Here is a 21,022-nt window from a genome sequence, read left to right as displayed (position 1 = left end):
TCATTAACAGGCTGGACAGGCCAATCCCCAAACCCCTTGAGTGGCATATGCAGATGGGTGCCAGCAGTGGCAGTGGCAAGCTGAGTAGGCTGATCCCTGGGTCCCCAAAAGGTGCATGCAGGTGCCAGCTGTGGGTGGGGTGGGCACTCCCTTATTCCTCTGGATGATACTTCCATATACTGGTAGCAGTGTGCAGAGCAGGCCTATGGCTAGGTCCCCAGTAATGTACACAAGCAGTAGTGGTGGGAAAGCAGGCTCATTCTCATGTACCCAGAATGTGTGCGTGGATGTCTTCAGTGGTGGTAATAAGTGGGGTGGTCCTTCCCTCAGGTTCCTCCAGATGTTGTGCACAGATGCCAGCTGTAGCAGGCAGAACTGATCAATCTCCAGGCCCTAATTCTTCTTTTTGATCAACTCATTAGAATTTACCATGTTGATGAATATTGCATACTTCCTAGTACATATAAGCAAGAGTTTCTTCAGGATGTAAGCATACAATTGGACTTGCTAGATCATAGAGGGTAAAAAAATTAAATTTTTCTTAATTATGTCAAATCAGTTTTTCAAATGCTATCACCTATTTCTAGCCCTACTGACATTATATAACTGTTCTAGCTATTTTAAAATCTTGGAAACACCTGGAATTTTCAGACTGCAAAATTTTTGCCAATAAGATAGTTATTTAAAAAAAATCTTAATCAGAGTAATTACATTCTCTGAATACTAATAAATATCAGCATTCCCTGAATACTAATAAATATCAGCATTTTGTCCCATGTTATTAGAAGTTTGCATTTTCTCTTTTGAGAAGAGTTTTTGTAAGACTTTTACACATTTATTTGACTGGATTAATTGCTTTTATTCTTATTAGACTATTGAAGTTTTAGTTTGTCTGTTTGTAGTGAACTTTGGATACCTATCTTCTGTCAGTTATAAGTTATACAAATGTCTTCTCGCTGTTTCTGACTTTTCTTTCCTTTTTATACTTTAATGTCTTCAGATTAACAGATTTTTTTAGAATTTTAAATTAAATATATTAAATGACACAAATTGTATATATCTATCATGTGCAACATAATATTTTGAAATATCTATAAATTGTAAAATGGCTAAATCAAGCCAATCAATATATACATCATCTCACAATACATATCAATTTTTGTGGTAGTAACACTTAAAATGTACACTCTTTGCAATTTTCAAGAATATATTAATATATTGTTATTAACTAGAGTCACCATTTTGTACAATAGATATCTTTAACTAACTCCTTCTAATTGACACTGTATATCCTTTGACCAATATCTTCTCAACCTCCTCCCAAATCCCTGCTAACCAACATTCTACTCTCTGTTTCTTATGAGTTCAACATGTTTAGATTCCACATGTAAGTAAGATCATGTCGTATTTGTCTTTCTGTGCCTGGCTTATTCACTTTACATGGTGCTCCCCAACTTCATCTTTTGTCTTGCAAATGACAGGGGTTCTTCCTTTTTTAAGGCTGAATAGTATTCCATTTTGTATATGTGCTACATTTTCTTTATCCATTCATCCATTGATGGATATTTAGATTGATTTTATAAATATCTATTACAAATAATGCTGCAATAAACATGGGGGTGCAGGTATCTTTTTTGACATACTCATTTCATTACCTTTGGATGTATACCCAGGAGTGGGATTGCTAGATTATATTATAGTGCTATTTTTTATTTTCTTGAGGAACCTAATACCATTTTCCATAATGGCTGTTCTAATTTATATCCTTATCAACAATGTTCAAGTGTCCCCTTTTGCCACATCTTATTGAATACTTGTTATCTTTCATCTTTTAGATAATAACCATTCTAACAGGCATGAGGTAGTATTTCATTGTGGTTTCAATTTATGTTTTTCTACTGATTAGTGCTCTTGAGTATTCTTTTCATATACTGTTGGCCATTTGTCTTCTTTTAAGAAGAGTCTATTCATGCCCTTTACTCATTTTTAGAGTTGGAATATTTGTTTTCTTGCTACTGAGTTGTTTCAGTTTCTTAAATATTTTAGATATTAATCTCTTAACAGATGTATGGTTTCCAAATATTTTCTCCAATTCTGCAGGTTGTTTCTTCACTGTGGTAATTATTTCCTGGGCTACGCAGAAGATTTTTAATTTGATGTAATCTCATTTGTCTTTTTTTTTTTTACTTTTTTGGCCTATGCTTTTGGTTCACATCCAAAAAAATCTTTTCTCAGACCAATGTCATGAACTTCTTCCTCAATGTTTTCTTCAACTAATTTTACAGTTTCAGGTCTTACATTTCAGTGTTTAATCTTTTCAGTTTATTTAATTACATGGTGTGATGTAAAGGTTTATTTTTATTAGTCTGCATGTGGATAACCACTTTCCTCAACACCATTTATAAAAGATATCATTCTTTCCTTGACATCTTTGCCAAAATTCATTGGCCTTAAATGCATATATTTGTTTCTGGACTCTCTGTTCTGTTCTCTTGGACTGTGTGTCTGTTTTATGCCAGTACTATTGCTGTCTTGATTATTATAGCTTGGTAGCAGATTTTGAAATCAAGTAGTATGCTGCCTCCAGCTTTGTTCTTTTTGCTGAAGTTTGCTTTGGCTATCCAGGATTTTTCTTGTGGCTCCACACAAAATTTTTAATTTTTTTTTCTATTTTTGTTAGAATGTCATTGAGATGTTGACAGGGATTACATAGAATCTGTAGATCACTTTGGGTAGTATGAACATTTAAACAATGTTTACTCTTCAAACATATGAACAAAGGATATCGTTTTCTTTATTTGCGTTTCTTCAGTTTATTTCGTCAATGTTGTTTTGTTTTCAATGTACAGGTCTTTTATCTCTTTTATTAAATTTACTCCTAAGTATTTTACTTATTTACTTATTTTAATATTCATTTATTTATTTTGTAACAAGAATTGTTCTCTTGAATTATTTTTCGTTTTATTTTTAAATGATAGTTTTATTTAAAACATTGCTAGTTCTTTAAAGATTTGTTTTCCAGATTTAATAAAACATTTTTATTTTTATCTTAAGGTAGCTGTAGTTTACATTTGGTTGAAAAAGCATATATTTGTGAACCAAGATGAAATATTTTTTCTCTCTAGAATTCAGAAAGTATTAGTACTTTGTATTTTTATAGCAATGTAGTTATTTGTATAAGTTCAATAATAATCTGTTCTCTTTATAACAGAACATAGTAGGAAACATTTGTTATATCACCCAGTTATCTTGACTTCTTTTTTGTATAGTCTGTTGTTAGTATATAGAGACATTACCAATTTTTGTTGATTTAGTATTTTGCAAATTTGCTGAATTTGTTTGTTAGTTCTAATGGTCTTTTTAGTTGAGTCTTTAGTGTTTCCATATATAAGATTACATTGCTTGTAAACAGGGACAATTTAACTATTTCTTTTTCAATTTGGCTGCCTTTTATCTTTTTTTCTTTGCTAATTACTTTGGCTTGGACTTCCAGGATTACGTTAAATGTAAAGCACCCTAGTCTTGTTCCTGATCTAAGAAATGTGAATGTGAGAGCTTATAACTTTTCACATTCTGATATTAGCTGTAGGTTTATCATCTATAGTTTATTTTGCTTTGAGATGCATTCCTTCTATACGTAATTTGCTGAGAGTTTTTTATCACGAAGGAATGTTGAGTCTTGTCAAATGATTTTTTTGCTTCTATTGAGATGATCACATGATTTTTGTCCTTTGTTCTGTTAATATAATGTATCACAATTGTAGATTTGGGTAGGTTGAACCATCCTTGTATCCCTGGGATAAATCCCATTTGTTCATGGAAAACAATGATTTTAATGTGTTGTTCAATTTTGATTTGCTAGTATTTTGTTGAGAAGTATATAGGAGTATCTTATGTTTCAAGGACGTTGGTCTGTAATTTTATCTTTTTGTTGTGACCTTATCTGGCTTTGATATAAGGGTAATGGGATAATGCTAGCTTCACGCAATGAATCTGGAAGTATTCCCTCCTCTTTAATATTTTGGGAGAGTTTGATAAGAATTGGTATAAGTTCATTAATTTTTTGGTAGAAGTTAGCAGTGAAGCCATCAGCGGGGATTTTGTTTGATAAGAAACACATTATTACTGATTCAATCTTCTTATTTGCTATCTCTTATGATCCTTTATATTTCTATGGTATTATTTGTAATGTGTCTTTTTCATTTTTGATTTCATTTATTTGACTTTACATTCATAGTGACATGCTTATAGAGTGAAGCATAATATCTTCTTGTGCTCTTATATTTTCCACTAAGTTATGCATCTAATTGCATTATTTTCACTTTTCCCTAACTTTCAAAATTTGAAAATTTAAAATATCAAATATTCAAAGTCTCCCATTGGCTTTACAATATTCTATAAGGTACTGAAAATTATTATCAAGGCAATTCTAGAATGTAAGGATCAGCCTGAAGGCAGCAAAGGCTTAACTAATATTTGTATATTTAGATGAAAAGTAGTTCAATATATCATAATGTAGAATGTTTCCCTAGAAGGATAGCTGACTACAGGCCTAGCATCTGTTGATAAACTTATATTGTTAACAAACCAAAGGTCAGAATTGTAATATAATCCTGATATGGGAGGCAGAGTCCACACATATTTTGGATGTACCTTTAAAGCTGAGAGGCCAGGCGCAGTGGCTCACGCCTGTAATCCCAGCACTTTGGGAGGCCTAGAGGGGCAGATCACCAGGTCAGGAGATCGAGACCATCCTGGCTAACACGGTGAAACCCCATCTCTAGTAAAAAAATCCAAAAAATAAATAGCCGGGCGTGGTGGCGGGCACCTGTAGTCCCAGCTGCTTGGGAGGCCTTGGCAGGAGAATGGCGTGAACCTGGGAGGCGAAGCTTGCAGTGAGCCCGAGATCTCGCCACTGCACTCCAGCCTGGGCAACAGAGCGAGACTTCATCTCAAAAAAAAAAAAAAAAAAAAATTAAAGCTGAGAATAAGCTATACTTGAAAGCAGTTCTGTAGAGAAGTAGAAAAGAATTTTGATAGCTTTTTAAACGAAAGATATAGAATAATTAAAATTAGCATTCCAGTTAAAGATAATGAAATAATTTACATAGATTTACCTGTACTCCCTCCTGAAATCCCGCAAATAATTAGTAAAATATTTGTTAAGGCTAGCAACCCACTAGAATAAGACAGGAGGAGAAAAAAGACAAAATCTTGGAAGCTAAAAAACAATTAAACAAGTATTAACAGACTTGGGAGATCTGAGAATTTGGAAACTGAAATTGGCAGTGAGAAAACTGGTGAAGCATGATGATTGATAGCACAGCATCCACAAAAGCCTCAGGAAGTGGCGACACTAGATAACTAGAAGGATGAGTAAAAGTGGATTAAAACTTCCACTAGTTAGATGTTTTCAAGTTGATACATTTTTCACCAAACCATCTATGTGCTGACATATCCAACAGTCTTTGTATACAATCACACTAATTTTTAACCTTAATATGTCAGAGAATTCTGCATAACCCACTGAGCCCAGTGAGATGTACAAGGACATCCAGATGACAAGAAGCTTCAAATTTGTACAAGATATTTTCTTAATTAAATGCTGTTTTTATATCTCTCGTTTTGATTGCAATTTATTCTCTAAGCATTATGTCATCCAAGTTAAATTAATTTAGTCAATACATCTGTATCTTACACAACTTTAAAATTAAAAGGATTTAAGTTACACAATGAAATTATTTCTCAATAAAATTGTGAAGTAGGTTTTTTATAACAGGAAAAATAGAAATATTAAGTGCTTGTTACAGTTTTGAGAAACTCTAATAATTAACAAACACATTTTAAAGCATTTTATACACAAATTGTTACTTCTTAAATGTTTTCTGTCCATTCATTTACAAGTATAATATAGATAAGTAATATAAAATCTGTAAGTTTCTAGAAGGGAAATTTATTGCTTTTTTCAATAAAAGAAAAACAACTTAGCCTTTTTATTCAATAGTATGAGTTCCAAATTATTTCTTCAAAATCAAAATAAAATTAATTTTCAAAATATGCGTCCTGAAAACAAACTTGCCAAAATTATCATATTGAAAATATTTTAAAATGACAATTTTTATATAGACATATTATCATATTGTTTCCAAAATTTACACAACTATAAAGTAATGAGTCCACATTCAAACTAGGTCTTCTGAGTAAAGATCCACTCTTCTTACTGTGAAAATTATTGCTCTCGATCAGCTTTCAGTAATATAAATGTGCATTTCTGTTAAACCACTGGAATTTCCACAGTCACTGGAGTATAAAGAAAATAAGGCAAAATATTTTTTAAATGTGTCTAAAGAACACAAAATCTATATTTAATGTACTTGTTCCTCAATCTTCCACTAATGCCACCACCAGACTGTTACCATATATAAACCCCTGCTAGTCATTTCTCCTAAACCTGCCCTCCCTGACTGCTCATCTCCATGTTGGGAATTGCAGTTTTTTGGCTTGTAAACCTTCCTCCTGCATCTCACAATCAATCAATCCATCAGTCAATCAATCCTCTCTCATTTCCTTTCTCCACAATATAATCCAGGAAGAGTAATGGTTTGAAAGAATGTCATATAATGCAAATAATTGAGAAAAAATCATATTTATGTGGTTAATGCATTAACTTATTTTAATCATAGATTTTTAGATAACCAAAAGGCATACTAAAATGTTAGTGGTCAATAAGCCTTCTTAGAGTTTTCAACAAGCAGCTATTCTCAATATAAATATTCCTTACATGAAACTTCCAACCTCCAACATTGCCTGAGGGGAAATGTTCACCTGCAGGAAGCACTCCCATCAGCAGGAGTCATATTAAGGACTGCCCTGTGTTTGTGCACTATGTTTCTGTGTGTCTATGCTCAATATAATATTACATGTACTTTTTTATTTGCATAGTCTTTGTCTGTATACCTATATCCCCAAATTTTGAGAAGAATGAATTTTTTTTTTCTGTACCTTCCTCTGAAGCCAGCTGCTGGTAAATAGTAGAAATCAGTGCTGAATTTTTAACAATGTTGAAAAATCAGATGAAGAGTTGAAAATCACATTTGATTAAAAGCTAATTGCTAGAAATAAGGTAAAATATGAAAAATCACTGTCAACACCTCTACTCCTCCTCTTAACTATCAGAAAACCTGAACATTAAGAAGAATTAAAGCTGATGATTTCAAAGACAGCTTGAGGAGGACCATTAGACCATAGGCATTTCTGAAGCAAAGTGATAGATTGTGAAATAAAATACACTTTAGAAAGATACTACATTAGTAAATACAAAGAATGTATAATTCTATCTCATCATATATGAGTAAAGAATTGTTCACTTTTTTAAGCATAAGGAATCTATGTGACTCTCTAAACATTGCTTCAAACAAGCAGCAACATATCTGGAAAATTAGGAATGAGATTTTCCAATGTGTGTTAATTGTAACATACATTATTGAGACAGATTATTTGATTATGTTGCATATGGGAATAGTACTGAGAGTAACATTTGTATTTTGTTTCACTGGAGATTAAACAAACAACACACATCAGTGATCAACTTTTAGATCTTGTTAAGTCCTTAATTTTCAAATGTATTATGGATAATCATTATAGCATAAATCCAATGGCTTCTGAAGGCTATATAACATAACTACTTAATATTTATCCACATTTTGTGCCATAGTGTATTATAATTATGCCCATTGAGATGACAAAGTTTCTCATTCAATATATTTTTAAAAAATATTTTGTCATCACCAATCTTCTAATTAGAAAATGGGATCTGTTGAAATTGTAAGAAAAAATAATAATGTAGGGACCTGGCATTGAAACAATGGGCTCCATCCAAAATTTGAATAAAAGTCATTGAGGAAAGAGTCCTGGCACAACAGAAAAATCCCGAGTCACTAGTTTTTGGGGTTTTGTCTTTTTTTTTTTTTCTGGATATTACTTGGTCAGGAGATGTGATGGTTAATATTGAGTGTCAACTTGATTGGAATGAAGGATGCAAAGTATTGTTCTTGGGTGTGTCTATGAGAGTATTGCTAAAGGAAATTAACATTTGAGTCAGTGGACTGTGAGAGACAGACCCACCCTCAATCTGGCTGGCACTATCTAATCAGCTGTCAGTGCAGCTAGAATAAATCAGGCAGAAGAAAGTGGAGTGAAGAGACTGCTCAGTCTTCCAGCATTCATCTTTTTCCCATGCTGGCTGCTTCCTGCCCTCAAACATCAGACTCAGCTCTTGGATTCTTGGACTTACACCAGTGATTTTCCAGGGGCTCTCAGGCCTTCAACCACAGACTGCAGGCTGCACTGTCGGCTTCCCTACTTTTGTGGTTTGGGGACTCAGACTGGCTTCCTTGCTGCTCAGCTTGCAGATGGCCTATTGTGGTACTTCACCTTGTGATAGTGTGAGTTAATTCTCCTAATAAAATCCCCTTCAAATATAAGTATATCCCATTAGTTCTCTCTCTTTAGACAACACTAATACAAGAGATGAAAGGTTTAAGAAAAAATAAGGATTCCCCAGTGTTCTCATACTCTCATTTAACTGCAGAAATACATTTTCTCATCACATTACCTTTTAAATAGTGCATAGACTTCCAGCCTATTTATGAAACTCTGTATAGCCTATGATATTCTTTACGTATTCAACAACAGAAGAAGGAAAAGGAAAAAGATTATACAAATCATCTCAAAGATTAAACATGTTAATTTCAAATTATTATGAACTTGCTATGAGTTTAATAGTTACTTATAAATTATTTTTTAAAAACATAATTCTCAAAACCTAGCTTACGATACATTTTGGAACTCACTGGTAAGTGGAGCAGTGTTTATACATTCACTAATACTAATTGTTACACCACTCTCTCAATGTGGAATTCGTATAAGGAACCACACTGGATGTCTTAGAAATGAGAATGTTTAAAGTATTGCAAAGACTGTGTTTAACATAATGAACAGTCTGTTCACACAGGATAAAACTGGTGTTAAAAAATATGTGCCTTGATGAATGAAGCCCATTTCTAAGTTCCATGATTTTGAACAAATTACCTTCACAAGCCTCGGTTATTTAGCATAAAAAATATAGGGATCAGAGGATTTCCATGGAGGGGTGGAACAAGATGATACAGTAGTACTTTCCATAAGTTTTTACTAATATTTTTAGTAACCTGGAGAAATATGCAAATATCCCATTAAAAAAATCAGATTCAATCCAAATAAGACTATTGAAAGATATAATCATATTCTCAAAAAATCAGAGATAATAAGAGGATGCTAAGACCATCAAAGAAAAGAAGCAAATAAAATATAAGGGAGTTTCAACATGCCTAGCTGCAGACTTTGCAGCCAAAACCTTATGTGCCAGGAGATTGTGGAATGATAGAGTCAAAGTGCTGAAGAAAAAGAAAAAAAACAAATTATTAACCAAGATTATCTTACCCATCAAAGCCATCCTTCAGAAATAAAGGAGAAATAAGACTTTTCTAACACACAAAGCCCAAGGGAGTTTATCACCACCAGACTTGTTTTAGATGAAATGCTAAAGATAGTTCTTCAAGCTAAAAAAAAGGTACTAAGCAACACAAAAACATTTAGAAGTATAAAACTGACTAGTACAAGTAAGTATACAGTCAAATTCAGAATATTGTAATACTGTAAGGGTGGTATGTAAATCACATATATCTGTAGTCTAAAGGTTTGAAAAACTATCAAAAATAATTGGTGCAATAATTTCTGAAGGTATATGTAATTTAAGAAAATGTAACTTGTGACATCATGAATTTACAATGTGGGCCGTAAATGGAGTCAAAGTGTAGAGATTTCTTTTTTCTGATCATAGTTACATTGTCATTCATTAAAATAATCTATTATAACTACAAAATTTTTTTATGTAATAAGCCCCATGGTAACCACAAAGCAAAATCCTATAGATACACACACACAAACAAAATAAAAAGCAACAAGAAAGGATTTATAGAAAAGCTAGAAAACTGCAGTTATAAGTCCTTATCTATCAGTAGTTACCCTGAATGTAAATGGAGTAAATTCTCCAGTCAAAAACATAGCATGACAAATGGGGGGGAAAAAAAATGACCCAACTACATGCTGCCTACAAGAGACTCATTTCACTTGTAAGGACCCACAAATTGAAAATGAAGAACTGAAAAAAGATATTTCAGAAAAATGGAAACCAAAAGAAAGAGTAGCTATCCATATTTCGGATAAAATGGATTTTAATTCAAAAATGACGTTAAAAAGACAAAGGAGGTCACTATAGTATGATAAAGTGGTCAATTCAACAAGAGGATATAACAATATATGCAGCAAGCATCAGAGGATCTAAACACATAAAGAAAATATCAATAGATACGAAGGGAGAGAGAGACTGCAATATGATAATAGTAGGCAATTTCAGTGCCTCACTTTTAGCAATGAACAGATTATCCAAACATAAAATCAGAAAATGATCATGAAACTTAAAATGTATTCTAGAGCAAATGGACCTAAAGACACATATACAGAAAATTTTATTTAACATCTGCAGAGTATGCATTTTTTCAACTAAACATAAAACATTCTCTAGGATAGATCATATATAAAACCACAAAAAGTCTGAAAACTGTAAGAAGACTGCAATCATATCAAGTATCATTTTCGACCATGGTGGTATAAAATGTGAAATCAATAACAAAAGAAATATTGGAAAATTAACAAATACATACAAATTAACATGCTTCTAAACAACTAAGGAGTTAATAAATAAATTGAAAGGAAGTTTAAAATGTTCTTAAGACAAACAAAAATGAAAACACAGCATACAAAAACCTATGGGTTACCTCAAAAGCAGTTCTAAGGGGTAAGTTTGTAGCAATAAACACCTACATCAAAAAAGGTCATAATAACATTGGCTTTACACACTTTTCAGATTGAAGTTAGAATGAATTAGGTAATGTATGTAAAAGTGCTATGTAAAGAGTAAAGGACAATATAATATGCATTATTCTTATAAGTAAAATTTATAGCCTTAACAATTAAACAGTTAAAAATGTGAGCTGTTTTTTTAATAATGGGAAATGAGAGACTTTTATGTACCACAGTGGAATCCTTAGGGCTCCTTCCAGATCTGTTTAATATGGTAATGCCATGTGCTTCAGACTTTTCCAAATATATGCCTCAGAAAAATTTAGAGCATATGCCTGCAAAAAAACCCACTTTATAAATGAAATTTTTGTTGCAATAACTTTCTATTTCATTACAAGAAAATGTTTTCTTCCCTAAATACAATCTGGAGCAAATTCTAATATCTAGTGTTCTTATATAGTATAACATAACAACCCTCTTGTAGCCATGGTATTGATGAAAAAACTGAAAGATTCAAGGAGGTTAAAAGATTTCTTCAAGATCCCATATATGTAATTGGTAAACAACATAATTAAACTCAAGAGGACTAGCTAAAATTGACCTGTTGTAACTACAGGCTTATAAAAATTTTTACCCTAGTTTTATGGGTAAAGGTAAGGAAAGTGGAGAAGTGAAATGACTTCACAAATTAAGGTACCAAATTAATATTAAAACTAAGTCTTCTTGAAGTCAGTCCTTTTCAACTATAACATTCTGATTCTTAATCAATACATTAAATGAAACCTTTTGTAGTTAGTTTAGGATGTGTGAAATCCACAATTTTGTTGTTTGACATGGAATTTGAGTGGTGGGTCAACTAAAACTCTTACACAAATTTGTGTTACCAAATTTGTTTAAAGAAGCTAAATAAAACTTTGGTATGAAAATCAGAAAAGGTATCATGAACAATGAAAATTCAAAGGCAATGTCAATCATCAACATAGATGCAAATATCCTAAATATAAATTATTAAAAATGAAATTCATATGTGTACATACCATCAGAACAGTTGATATATTCCTGGGGTAAAATAATGGGTTAATATTAAAATACCAAAGTTGTTCACAGTATAATCATATCAGTAAGTGAACAAACGTAATTAATGTTAAATTCTGTCAAAATTTCTAGCAAACTAAGAATAGAAGGAAAGTTTTTTAATGAGTTAAAGGGTATCACTTATAAAAAACTGAAAACTTCATGTCCTTTGCAGGGAAATGGATGAAGCTAGAAACCATCATTCTCAGTAAAATAACACAGGAACACAAAACCAAACACCACATGTTCTCACTCATAAGTGGGATTTGAAAAATGAGAACACATAGACACAGGGAAGGGAATATCACACACCAGGTCTTGTCGGGAGGATTGGGGACATGGGGAGGGAGTGCATTAGGACAAATACCTAATGCATGCAGGGCTTAAAACCTAGATGATGGGTTGATAGGTGCAGCAAACCACCATGGCACATGTCTACCTATGTAACATACCTGCATGTTCAGCACATAGATCCCAGAACTTAAAATAAAATAAAATAATAATAATAAAACAAAAGAACAGAAAACTTTAAACTCAAATGTGAAAGCTTAAAAGTCTTACATGAAAAATCAAAACAAGAAAAGAAATCTTATTGTCATTATTTCAGTTCAGTGTTGTTTCTGAAGGTTCTAGGCAGGGAATAAACTAGTAAACTATTTTAAGAATTAGAAACAAAAGAAGGGTCTCATTATTCACAGATGATATAGTATTATTAAAAATAAACGTGTTTGGGTGTGGTGGCTCATGCCTGCCTATAATCGTAACACTTTGTGAGGCAGAGGAGGGAGGATTGCCTGAGTCCAAGAGTTCAACATCAGCCTGGGTAACATAGCGAGATCCTGTCTCCACACACACACAAATAAATAAATAGAAGTAGAAGAGTTCGACAAGGTTGCTCAATATGTAAATGAATTGCATGTCTATACATCAATATAATGAGTTAAATATATGTTATAAAATATTTTAAAATGGCAACAAATTAATAAGATTTCTATACGTTAACTTGAGAAAGTAAGCACATGCTCTTTATGAAGATAAATTACGAAACTACATTAAAAATGTCATAGAAGTCGTCATATAAGGGAGACATCTACCGTATCCACATACAAGAAGATAAAATATCACAAGGATATAAATTAGAGTTATCCCTACATATCTCTTTGTGGTGGGCATTGGTTCCAAAATTCCCACACACACCAATACCAAAATCTGTGGATACTTAAGTAATGCAGTTGGCACTACAAAAATCCAGTAGAACCCCCACATATGAAAAGTGTCCCCACACAACCCTACATATAGATTTATTATACCACAAGTATACATGTTGTATTTTTGGTTGGCATTTTGTTGGAGATACAGAACCCACCAATTGGGAGTACAGAATGTATTTATTGAAAAAAAAATAGCATTTAAGTGGACCTGCACAGATCAAACTCATGTTGTTCAAGGGTCAAGTGTACTTATACATTTTCAGTAAAATCAATGGAATTCACATTAATTTCTAATGACTTTTTATGCAACTTAATAGGATGCTTGCATATGTAGCTAATTTCAATATTTATATAAAAGGGCACAGGGCAAAAATAAAACAACACAACCCTGAAGAAGAAGAACAATATGCAGAACGTGACCTATGCTATACAAAATCTCATCAAAAAACCAATTAACTCTGTGTTTGATTGGCTGAGGGTTGACAATCTGTCAAATGGAATAGGATAATGAGCCCAGAAACAGATTCAGGTACATGGAAGAACACTGCCTGACAGAGCCAAAATACAGAAGAACAAAGGAAGGATGATTGTTTTGTATGTTATCCTAGAATAATTGGTACTCTACATTGCAAGGCCAAAGGTAGGGGTGGAAGGGTTCTATACAGAGTGAATGCTAAACAGTTTTGTCATAGCCAACTGGTAACAAATTTTTTTTTTATTATTATTATACTTTAAGTTTTAGGGTACATGTGCACAACGTGCGGGTTTGTTACATATGTATATATGTGCCAAGTTGGTGTGCTGCACACATTAACTCGTCATTTAGCATTAGGTATATCTCCTAATGCTATCCCTCCCCACTCCCCCCACGCCACAACAGTCCCCGGTGTGTGATGTTCCCCTTCCTGTGTCCATGTGTTCTCATTGTTCAATTCCCACCTACGAGTGAGAACATGCGGTGTTTGGTTTTTTCTCCTTGTGATAGTGTGCTGAGAATGATGGTTTCCAGCTTCATCCATGTTCCTACAAAGGACATGAGCTCATCATTTTTTATGGCTGCATAGTATCCCATGGTGTAAATGTGACACATTTTCTTAATCCAGTCTATCATTGTTGGACATTTGGGTTGGTTCCAAGTCTTTGCTATTGTGAATAGTGCCGCAGTAAACATACATGTGCATGTGTCTTTATAGCAGCATGATTTATAATCCTTTGGGTAGATACCCAGTAATGGGATGGCAGGGTCAAATGGTATTTCCAGTTCTAGATCCCTGAGGAATCGCCACACTGACTTCCACAATGGTTGAACTAGTTTACAGTCCCACCAACAGTGTAAAAGCATTCCTATTTCTCCACATCCTCTCCAGCACCTGTTCTTTCCTGACTTTTTAATGATCGCCATTCTAACTGGTGTGAGATGGTATCTCATTGTGGTTTTGATTTGCATTTCTCTGATGGCCAGTGATGATAAGCATTTTTTCATGTGTATTTTGGCTGCATAAATGTCTTCTCTTGAGAAGTGTCTGTTCATATCCTTCGTCCACTTTTTGATGGGGTTGTTTGTTTTTTTCTTGTAAATTTGTTGGAGTTCATTGCAGATTCTGGATATTAGCCCTTTGTCAGATGAGGTTGCAAAAATTTTCTCCCATTCTGTAGGTTGCCTGTTCACTCTGATGGTGGTTTCTTTTGCTGTGCAGAAGCTCTTTAGTTTAATTAGATCCCATTTGTCAACTTTGGCTTTTGTTGCCATTGCTTTTGGTGTTTTAGACATGAAGTCCTTGCCCATGCCTATGTCCTGAATGGTATTGCCTAGGTTTTCTTATAGGGTTTTTATGGTTTCAGGTCTAACATTTAAGTCTTTAATCCATCTTGAATTAATTTTTGTATAAGGTATAAGGAAGGGATCCAGTTTCAGCTTTCTACATATGGCTAGCCAGTTTTCCCAGCACCATTTATTAAATAGGGGATCGTTTCCCCATTGCTTGTTTTTGTCAGATTTGTCAAAGATCAGATGGTTGTAGATATGCGGCATTATTTCTGAGGGCTCTATTCTGTTCCATTGGTCTGTATCTCTGTTTTGGTACCAGTACCATGCTGTTTTGGTTACTGTAGCCTTGTAGTATAGTTTGAAGTCAGGTAGTGTGATGCCTCCAGCTTTGTTCTTTTGGCTTAGGATTGACTTGGCAATGCGGGCTCTTTTTTGGTTCCATATGAACTTGAAAGTAGTTTTTTCCAATTCTGTGAAGAAAGCCATTGGTAGCTTGATAGAGATGACATTGAATCTGTAAATTACCTGGGGCAGTATAGCCATTTTCACGATATTGATTCTTCCTACCCATGAGCATGGAATGTTCTTCCATTTGTTTCTGTCCTCTTTTATTTAATTGAGCAGTGGTTTGTAGTTCTCCTTGAAGAGGTCCTTCACATCCCTTGTAAGTTGGATTCCTAGGTATTTTATTCTCTTTGAAGCAATTGTGAATGGGAGTTCACTCATGATTTGGCTCTCTGTTTGTCTGTTATTGGTGTATAAGAATGCTTGTGATTTTTGCACATTGATTTTGTATCCTGAGACTTTGCTGAAGTTGCTTATCAGCTTAAGGAGATTTTGGGCTGAGACGAGGGGTTTTCTAGATATATAATCATGTTGTCTGCAAACAGGGACAATTTGACTTCCTCTTTTCCTAATTGAATGCCCTTTATTTCCTTCTCCTGCCTGATTGCCCTGGCCAGAACTTCCAACACTATGTTGAATAAGAGTGGTGAGAGAGGGCATCCCTGTCTTGTGCCACATTTCAAAGGGAATGCTTCCAGTTTTTGTCCATTCAGTATGATATTGGCTGTGGGTTTGTCATAGATAGCTCTTATTATTTTGAGATACGTCCCATCAATACCTAATTTATTGAGAGTTTTTAGCATGAAGGTTGTTCAATTTTGTCAAAAGCCTTTTCTGCATCTATTGAGATAATCATGTGGTTTTTGTCGTTGGTTCTGTTTATATGCTGGATTACGTTTATTGATTTTCGTATGTTGAACCAGCCTTGCATCCCGGGGATGAAGCCCGCTTGATCATGGTGGATAAGCTTTTTGATGTGTTGCTGGATTCGGTTTGCCAGTATTTTATTGAGGATTTTTGCATCAATGTTCGTCAAGGATATTGGTCTAAAATTCTCTTTTTTTGTTGTGTCTTTGCCAGGCTTTGGTATCAGGTTGATGCTGGCCTCATAAAATGAGTTAGGGAGGATTCCCTCTTTTTCTATTGATTGGAATAGTTTCAGAAGGAATGGTACCAGCTCCTCCTTGTACCTCTGGTAGAATTCGGCTGTGAATCCATCTGGTCCTGCACTTTTTTTGGTTGGTAAGCTATTAATTATTGCCTGAATTTCACAGCCTGTTATTGGTCTATTCAGAGATTCAACTTCTTCCTGGTTTAGTCTTGGGAGAGTGTGTGTGTCATGGAATTTATCCATTTCTTCTAGATTTTCTAGTTTATTTGCATAGAGGTGTTTATAGTATTCTCTGATGGTAGTTTGTATTTCTGTGGGATCAGTGGTGATATCCCCTTTGTCATTTTTTTATTGCATCTATTTGATTCTTCTCTCTTTTCTTCCTTATTAGTCTTGCTAGCAGTCTATCAATTTTGTTGATCTTTTCAAAAAAACCAGCTCCTGGATTCACTGCTTTTTTGAAGGGTTTTTTGTGTCTCTATTTCCTTCAGTTCTGCTCGATCTTAGTTATTTCTTGCCTTCTGCTAGCTTTTGAATGTGTTTGCTCTTGCTTCTCCAGTTCTTTTAATTTTGATGTTAGGGTCTCAATTTTAGATCTTTCCTGCTTTCTCTTGTGGGCGTTTAGTGCTATAAATTTCCCTCTATACACTGCTTTGAATGTGTCCCTGAGATTCTGATATGTTGTGTCTTTGTTCTCGTTGCTTTCAAAGAACATCTTTATTTCTGCCTTCATTTCATTATGTACCCAGTAGTCATTCAGGAGCAGGTTGTTCAGTTTCCATGTAGTTGAGTGGTTTTGAGTGAGTTTCTTAATCCTGAGTTCTAGTTTGATTGCACTGTGGTCTGAGAGAGAGTTTGTTATCATTTCTGTTCTTTTACATTTGCTGAGGGGTGCTTTACTTCCAAGTATGTGGTCAATTTTGGAATAGGTGTGGTGTGGTGCTGAAAGAATGTATATTCTGTTGATTTGGGGTGGAGAGTTCTGTAAATGTCTATTAGGTCTACTTGGTGCAGAGCTGAGTTCAATTCCTGGATATCCTCATCAACTTTCTGTCTCGTTGATCTGTCTAATGTTGACAGTGGGGTGTTAAAGTCTCCCATTATTATTGTGTGGGAGTCTAAGTCTCTTTGTAGGTAACTAAGGACTTGCTTTACGAATCTGGGTGCTCCTGTATTGGGTGCATATATATTTAGGATAGTTAGTTCTTCTTGTTGAATTGATCCCTTTACCATTATGTAATGGCCTTCTTTGTCTCTTTTGATCTTTGTTGGTTTAAAGTCTGTTTTATCAGAGACTAGGATTGCAACCCCTGCCTTTTTTTTGTCTTCTGTTTGCTTGGTAGATCTTCTTCCATCCCTTTATTTTGAGCCTATGTGTGTCTCTGCATGCGAGATGGGTTTCCTGAATACAGCACACTGATGGGTCTTGACTCTTTATCCAATTTGCCAGGTTGTGCCTTTTAATTGGAGCATTTATCCCATTTACATTTAAGGTTAGTATTGTTATGTGTGAATTTGATCCTGTCATTATGATGTTAGCTGCTTATTTTGCTCGTTAGTTGGTGCAGTTTCTTCCTAGCCTTGACGGTCTTTACAATTTGGCATGTTTCTGCAGTGGCTGGTACCGGTTGTTCCTTTCCATGTTTAGTGCTTCCTTCAGGAGCTCTTTTAGGGCAGGTCTGGTGGTGACAAAATCCCTCAGCATTTGCTTGTCTGTAAAGTATTTTATTTCTCCTTCACTTATGAAGCTTAGTTTGGCTGGATATGAAATTCTGGGTTGAAAATTCTTTTCTTTAAGAATGTTGAGTATTGGCCCCCACTCTCTTCTGGCTTGTAGAGTTTCTGTGGAGAGATCAGCTGTTAGTCTGATGGGCTTCCCTTTGTAGGTAACCCAACCTTTCTCTCTGGTTACCCTTAATATTTTTTCCTTCATTTCAACTTTGGTGAATCTGACAATTATGTGTCTTGGAGTTGCTCTTCTCGAGGAGTATCTTTGTGGCATTCTCTGTATTTCCTGAATTTGAATGTTGGCCTGCCTTGCTAGATTGGGGAAGTTCTCCTGGGTAATATCCTGCAGAGTGTTTTCCAACTTGGTTCCATTCTCCTCGTCACTTTCAGGTACACCAATGAGACGTAGAGTTGGTCTTTTCACGTAGTCCCATATGTCTTGGAGGCTTTGTTCATTTCTTTGTATTTTTTTTTCTCTAACCTTTTCTTCACACTTCATTTCATTCATTTCGTCTTCCATCGCTGATACCCTTTCTTCCAGTTGATTGCATTGGTTACTGAGGCTTGTGCATTCATCACGTAGTTCTCGTGCCATGGTTTTCAGCTCCATGAAGTCCTTTAAAGACTTCTCTGCATTGGTTATTCTAGTTATCCATTCGTCTAATTTTTTTTTAAAGTTTTTATCTTCTTTGCCATTGGTTTGAACTTCCTTCTTTAGCTCAGAGTAGTTTGATCTTCTGAAGCCTTCCTCTCTCAACTCATCAAAGTCATTCTCCGTCCAGCTTTGTTCCATTGCTGGTGAGGAGCTGCGTTCCTTTGGAGGAGGAGATGCTCTCTGATTTTTAGAGTTTCCCATTTTTCTGCTCTGTTTTTTCCCCATCTTTGTGGTTTTATCTACCTCTGGTCTTTGATGATGGTGACATACAGATGGGTTTTTGGTGTGGATGTCCTTTCTGTTTGTTAGTTTTCCTTCTAACAGTGAGGACCCTCAGCTGCAGGTCTGTTGGAGTTTACTGGAGGTCCACTCCAGACCCTGTTTGCCTGAGTATCAGCAGTGGAGGATGCAGAACAGCGGATATTGGTGAACCGCAAATGCTGCTGCCTGATCGTTCCTCTGGAAGTTTTGTCTCAGAGGAGTACCCGGCTGTGTGAGATGTCAGTCCGCCCCTACTGGGGGGTGCCTCCCAGTTAGGCTACTTGGGGGTCAGGGACCCACTTGAGGAGGCAGTCTGCTGGTTCTCAGATCTCAAGCTGCATACTGGGAGAACCACTACTCTCTTCAAAGCTATCGGACAGGGACATTTAAGTCTGCAGAGGTTATTGCTGTCTTTTGTTTGTCTGTGCCCTGCCCCCAGAGGTGGAGCCTACAGAGGCAGGCAGGCCTCCTTGAGCTGTGGTGGGCTCCACCCATTTCCAGCTTCCAGGCCACTTTGTTTACCTACTCAAGCCCAAGCAATGGCTGGCGCCCCTCCCCCAGGCTCACTGCCACCTTGCAGTTTGATCTCAGACTGCTGTGCTAGCAATCAGCAAGGCTCCGTGGGCATAGGACCTTCAGAGCCACCTGCGGGATATAATCTCCTGGTGTGCCGTTTGATAAGCCCATTGGAAAAGCACAGTATTAGGGTGGGAGTTACCCGATTTTCCAGGTGCCATCTGTCACCCCTTTCTTTGACTAGGAAAGGGAATTCCCTGACCCCCTGCGCTTCCCAGATGAGGTAATGCCTCGCCCTGCTTAGGCTCACGCACGGTGCACTGCACCCACTGTCCTGCACCCACTGTCCGGCACTTATGTTTTTAATCAGGGAAGTGGCATGATTTGATTTTTATTTTAGAAAGTTACTTTCTATCCTTACGGATTGCTATTAAATAATTTTTTCCCTAATCAATCTCCATTTCATGGTGAAGAGAAATATTATGATTATAGATGTTTTGCTTCCCTTCAAAAAGATCATTGATTGCTTTCAGTAAAAAAAGTTATTCAACTACTTGACTAGTCCTCCTGGACATTCCCTTGCAATAATCTATTTTCATATAATCTGCCACTACTTATATATTTCCTTTAGCCACATTGAGGAGTCTCTGCAAATCTTAAACTCTGTAGTCTAGCTTTTAATTTCAGTATTATTGATTGTTTTGTAAACTTTTTTTGGCATTTTATGATTAATACTTGCTTTAAAATATGCTTTATATAAATTAGTGACTTTTGATCAAGGTACTAATGAATTTGTGGGAACCTATTAAAGAAACAAATATATTTCATAACTTATTTTGAAACATTTTCATATAATATAAATCTTTACATTGCCAGGAAAAAAAAAATCAGAATTTCAAGAAGCATATGTAAAGCTTCTAATAAAACCTATCATATACTAAGTAAATAAATGCTAATTTTCCTACTTTATCCTGCTCTATTAGTGGGTATTAAGCTAATTGGGATGAGCTAAAATGGATTATGTAAAGTTGGATTTTAAGGTGAATTAGACACAATTTGTAGAACACAGAAATTTAAAGTATTAAATATGCAGAGATTTTGTAATGATAAAATTCAAGCTCTTCTTTAGAGAAATAACACAAAGAGACACAAGTTTTAGACAGTATCTGTGGGTAATACACAGTTGCTGATCTGCTTACTGTTAAAATCAAGAATCAAGATGTGATACAGGTTTCTTAATAAACAGCATAGTAAATCTTTCAATATTAATTATATTTAAGTGTCATACATAAAATTTTTTCTCAAATTAATACTTCACTTAACAGAAAAAGTTGCAAATGTACATGAGCACCCCCCCCCCACACACACACATACATTATACATTTCCATTATTGTTTCTTAGATATTGCTTTCAAGAAACCTGGAGAAAGGGATCATTTTACATTTTGGTT

General features: G+C 35.0%; 1 protein-coding gene across 2 annotated transcripts in view, besides 1 other annotated feature; it reads left to right on the top strand.

Annotated features, from left to right (window-relative positions):
- The window catches only part of EYS (eyes shut homolog), a 1,987,247-nt gene that overhangs the window by 1,239,309 nt on the left and 726,916 nt on the right, over window positions 1-21,022 (top strand). The gene's annotated exons all lie outside the window — the stretch shown is intronic.
- Window positions 19,059-19,558: an enhancer, noted in NCBI's record as "H3K4me1 hESC enhancer chr6:65158253-65158752 (GRCh37/hg19 assembly coordinates)". NCBI's record gives its function as "activates a minimal SCP1, AML or CMV promoter by ChIP-STARR-seq in primed H9 embryonic stem cells {active_cell/tissue: H9 hESC(primed)}" and the evidence as "EXISTENCE:reporter gene assay evidence [ECO:0000049][PMID:30033119]".

This window comes from Homo sapiens, chromosome 6, assembly GCF_000001405.40.
Source record: "Homo sapiens chromosome 6, GRCh38.p14 Primary Assembly".
Classification (NCBI taxonomy): Eukaryota; Metazoa; Chordata; class Mammalia; order Primates; family Hominidae; genus Homo; species Homo sapiens.
Note: the sequence above shows the minus strand (reverse complement) of the source record. Positions and strands in the feature narration are given on the sequence as shown.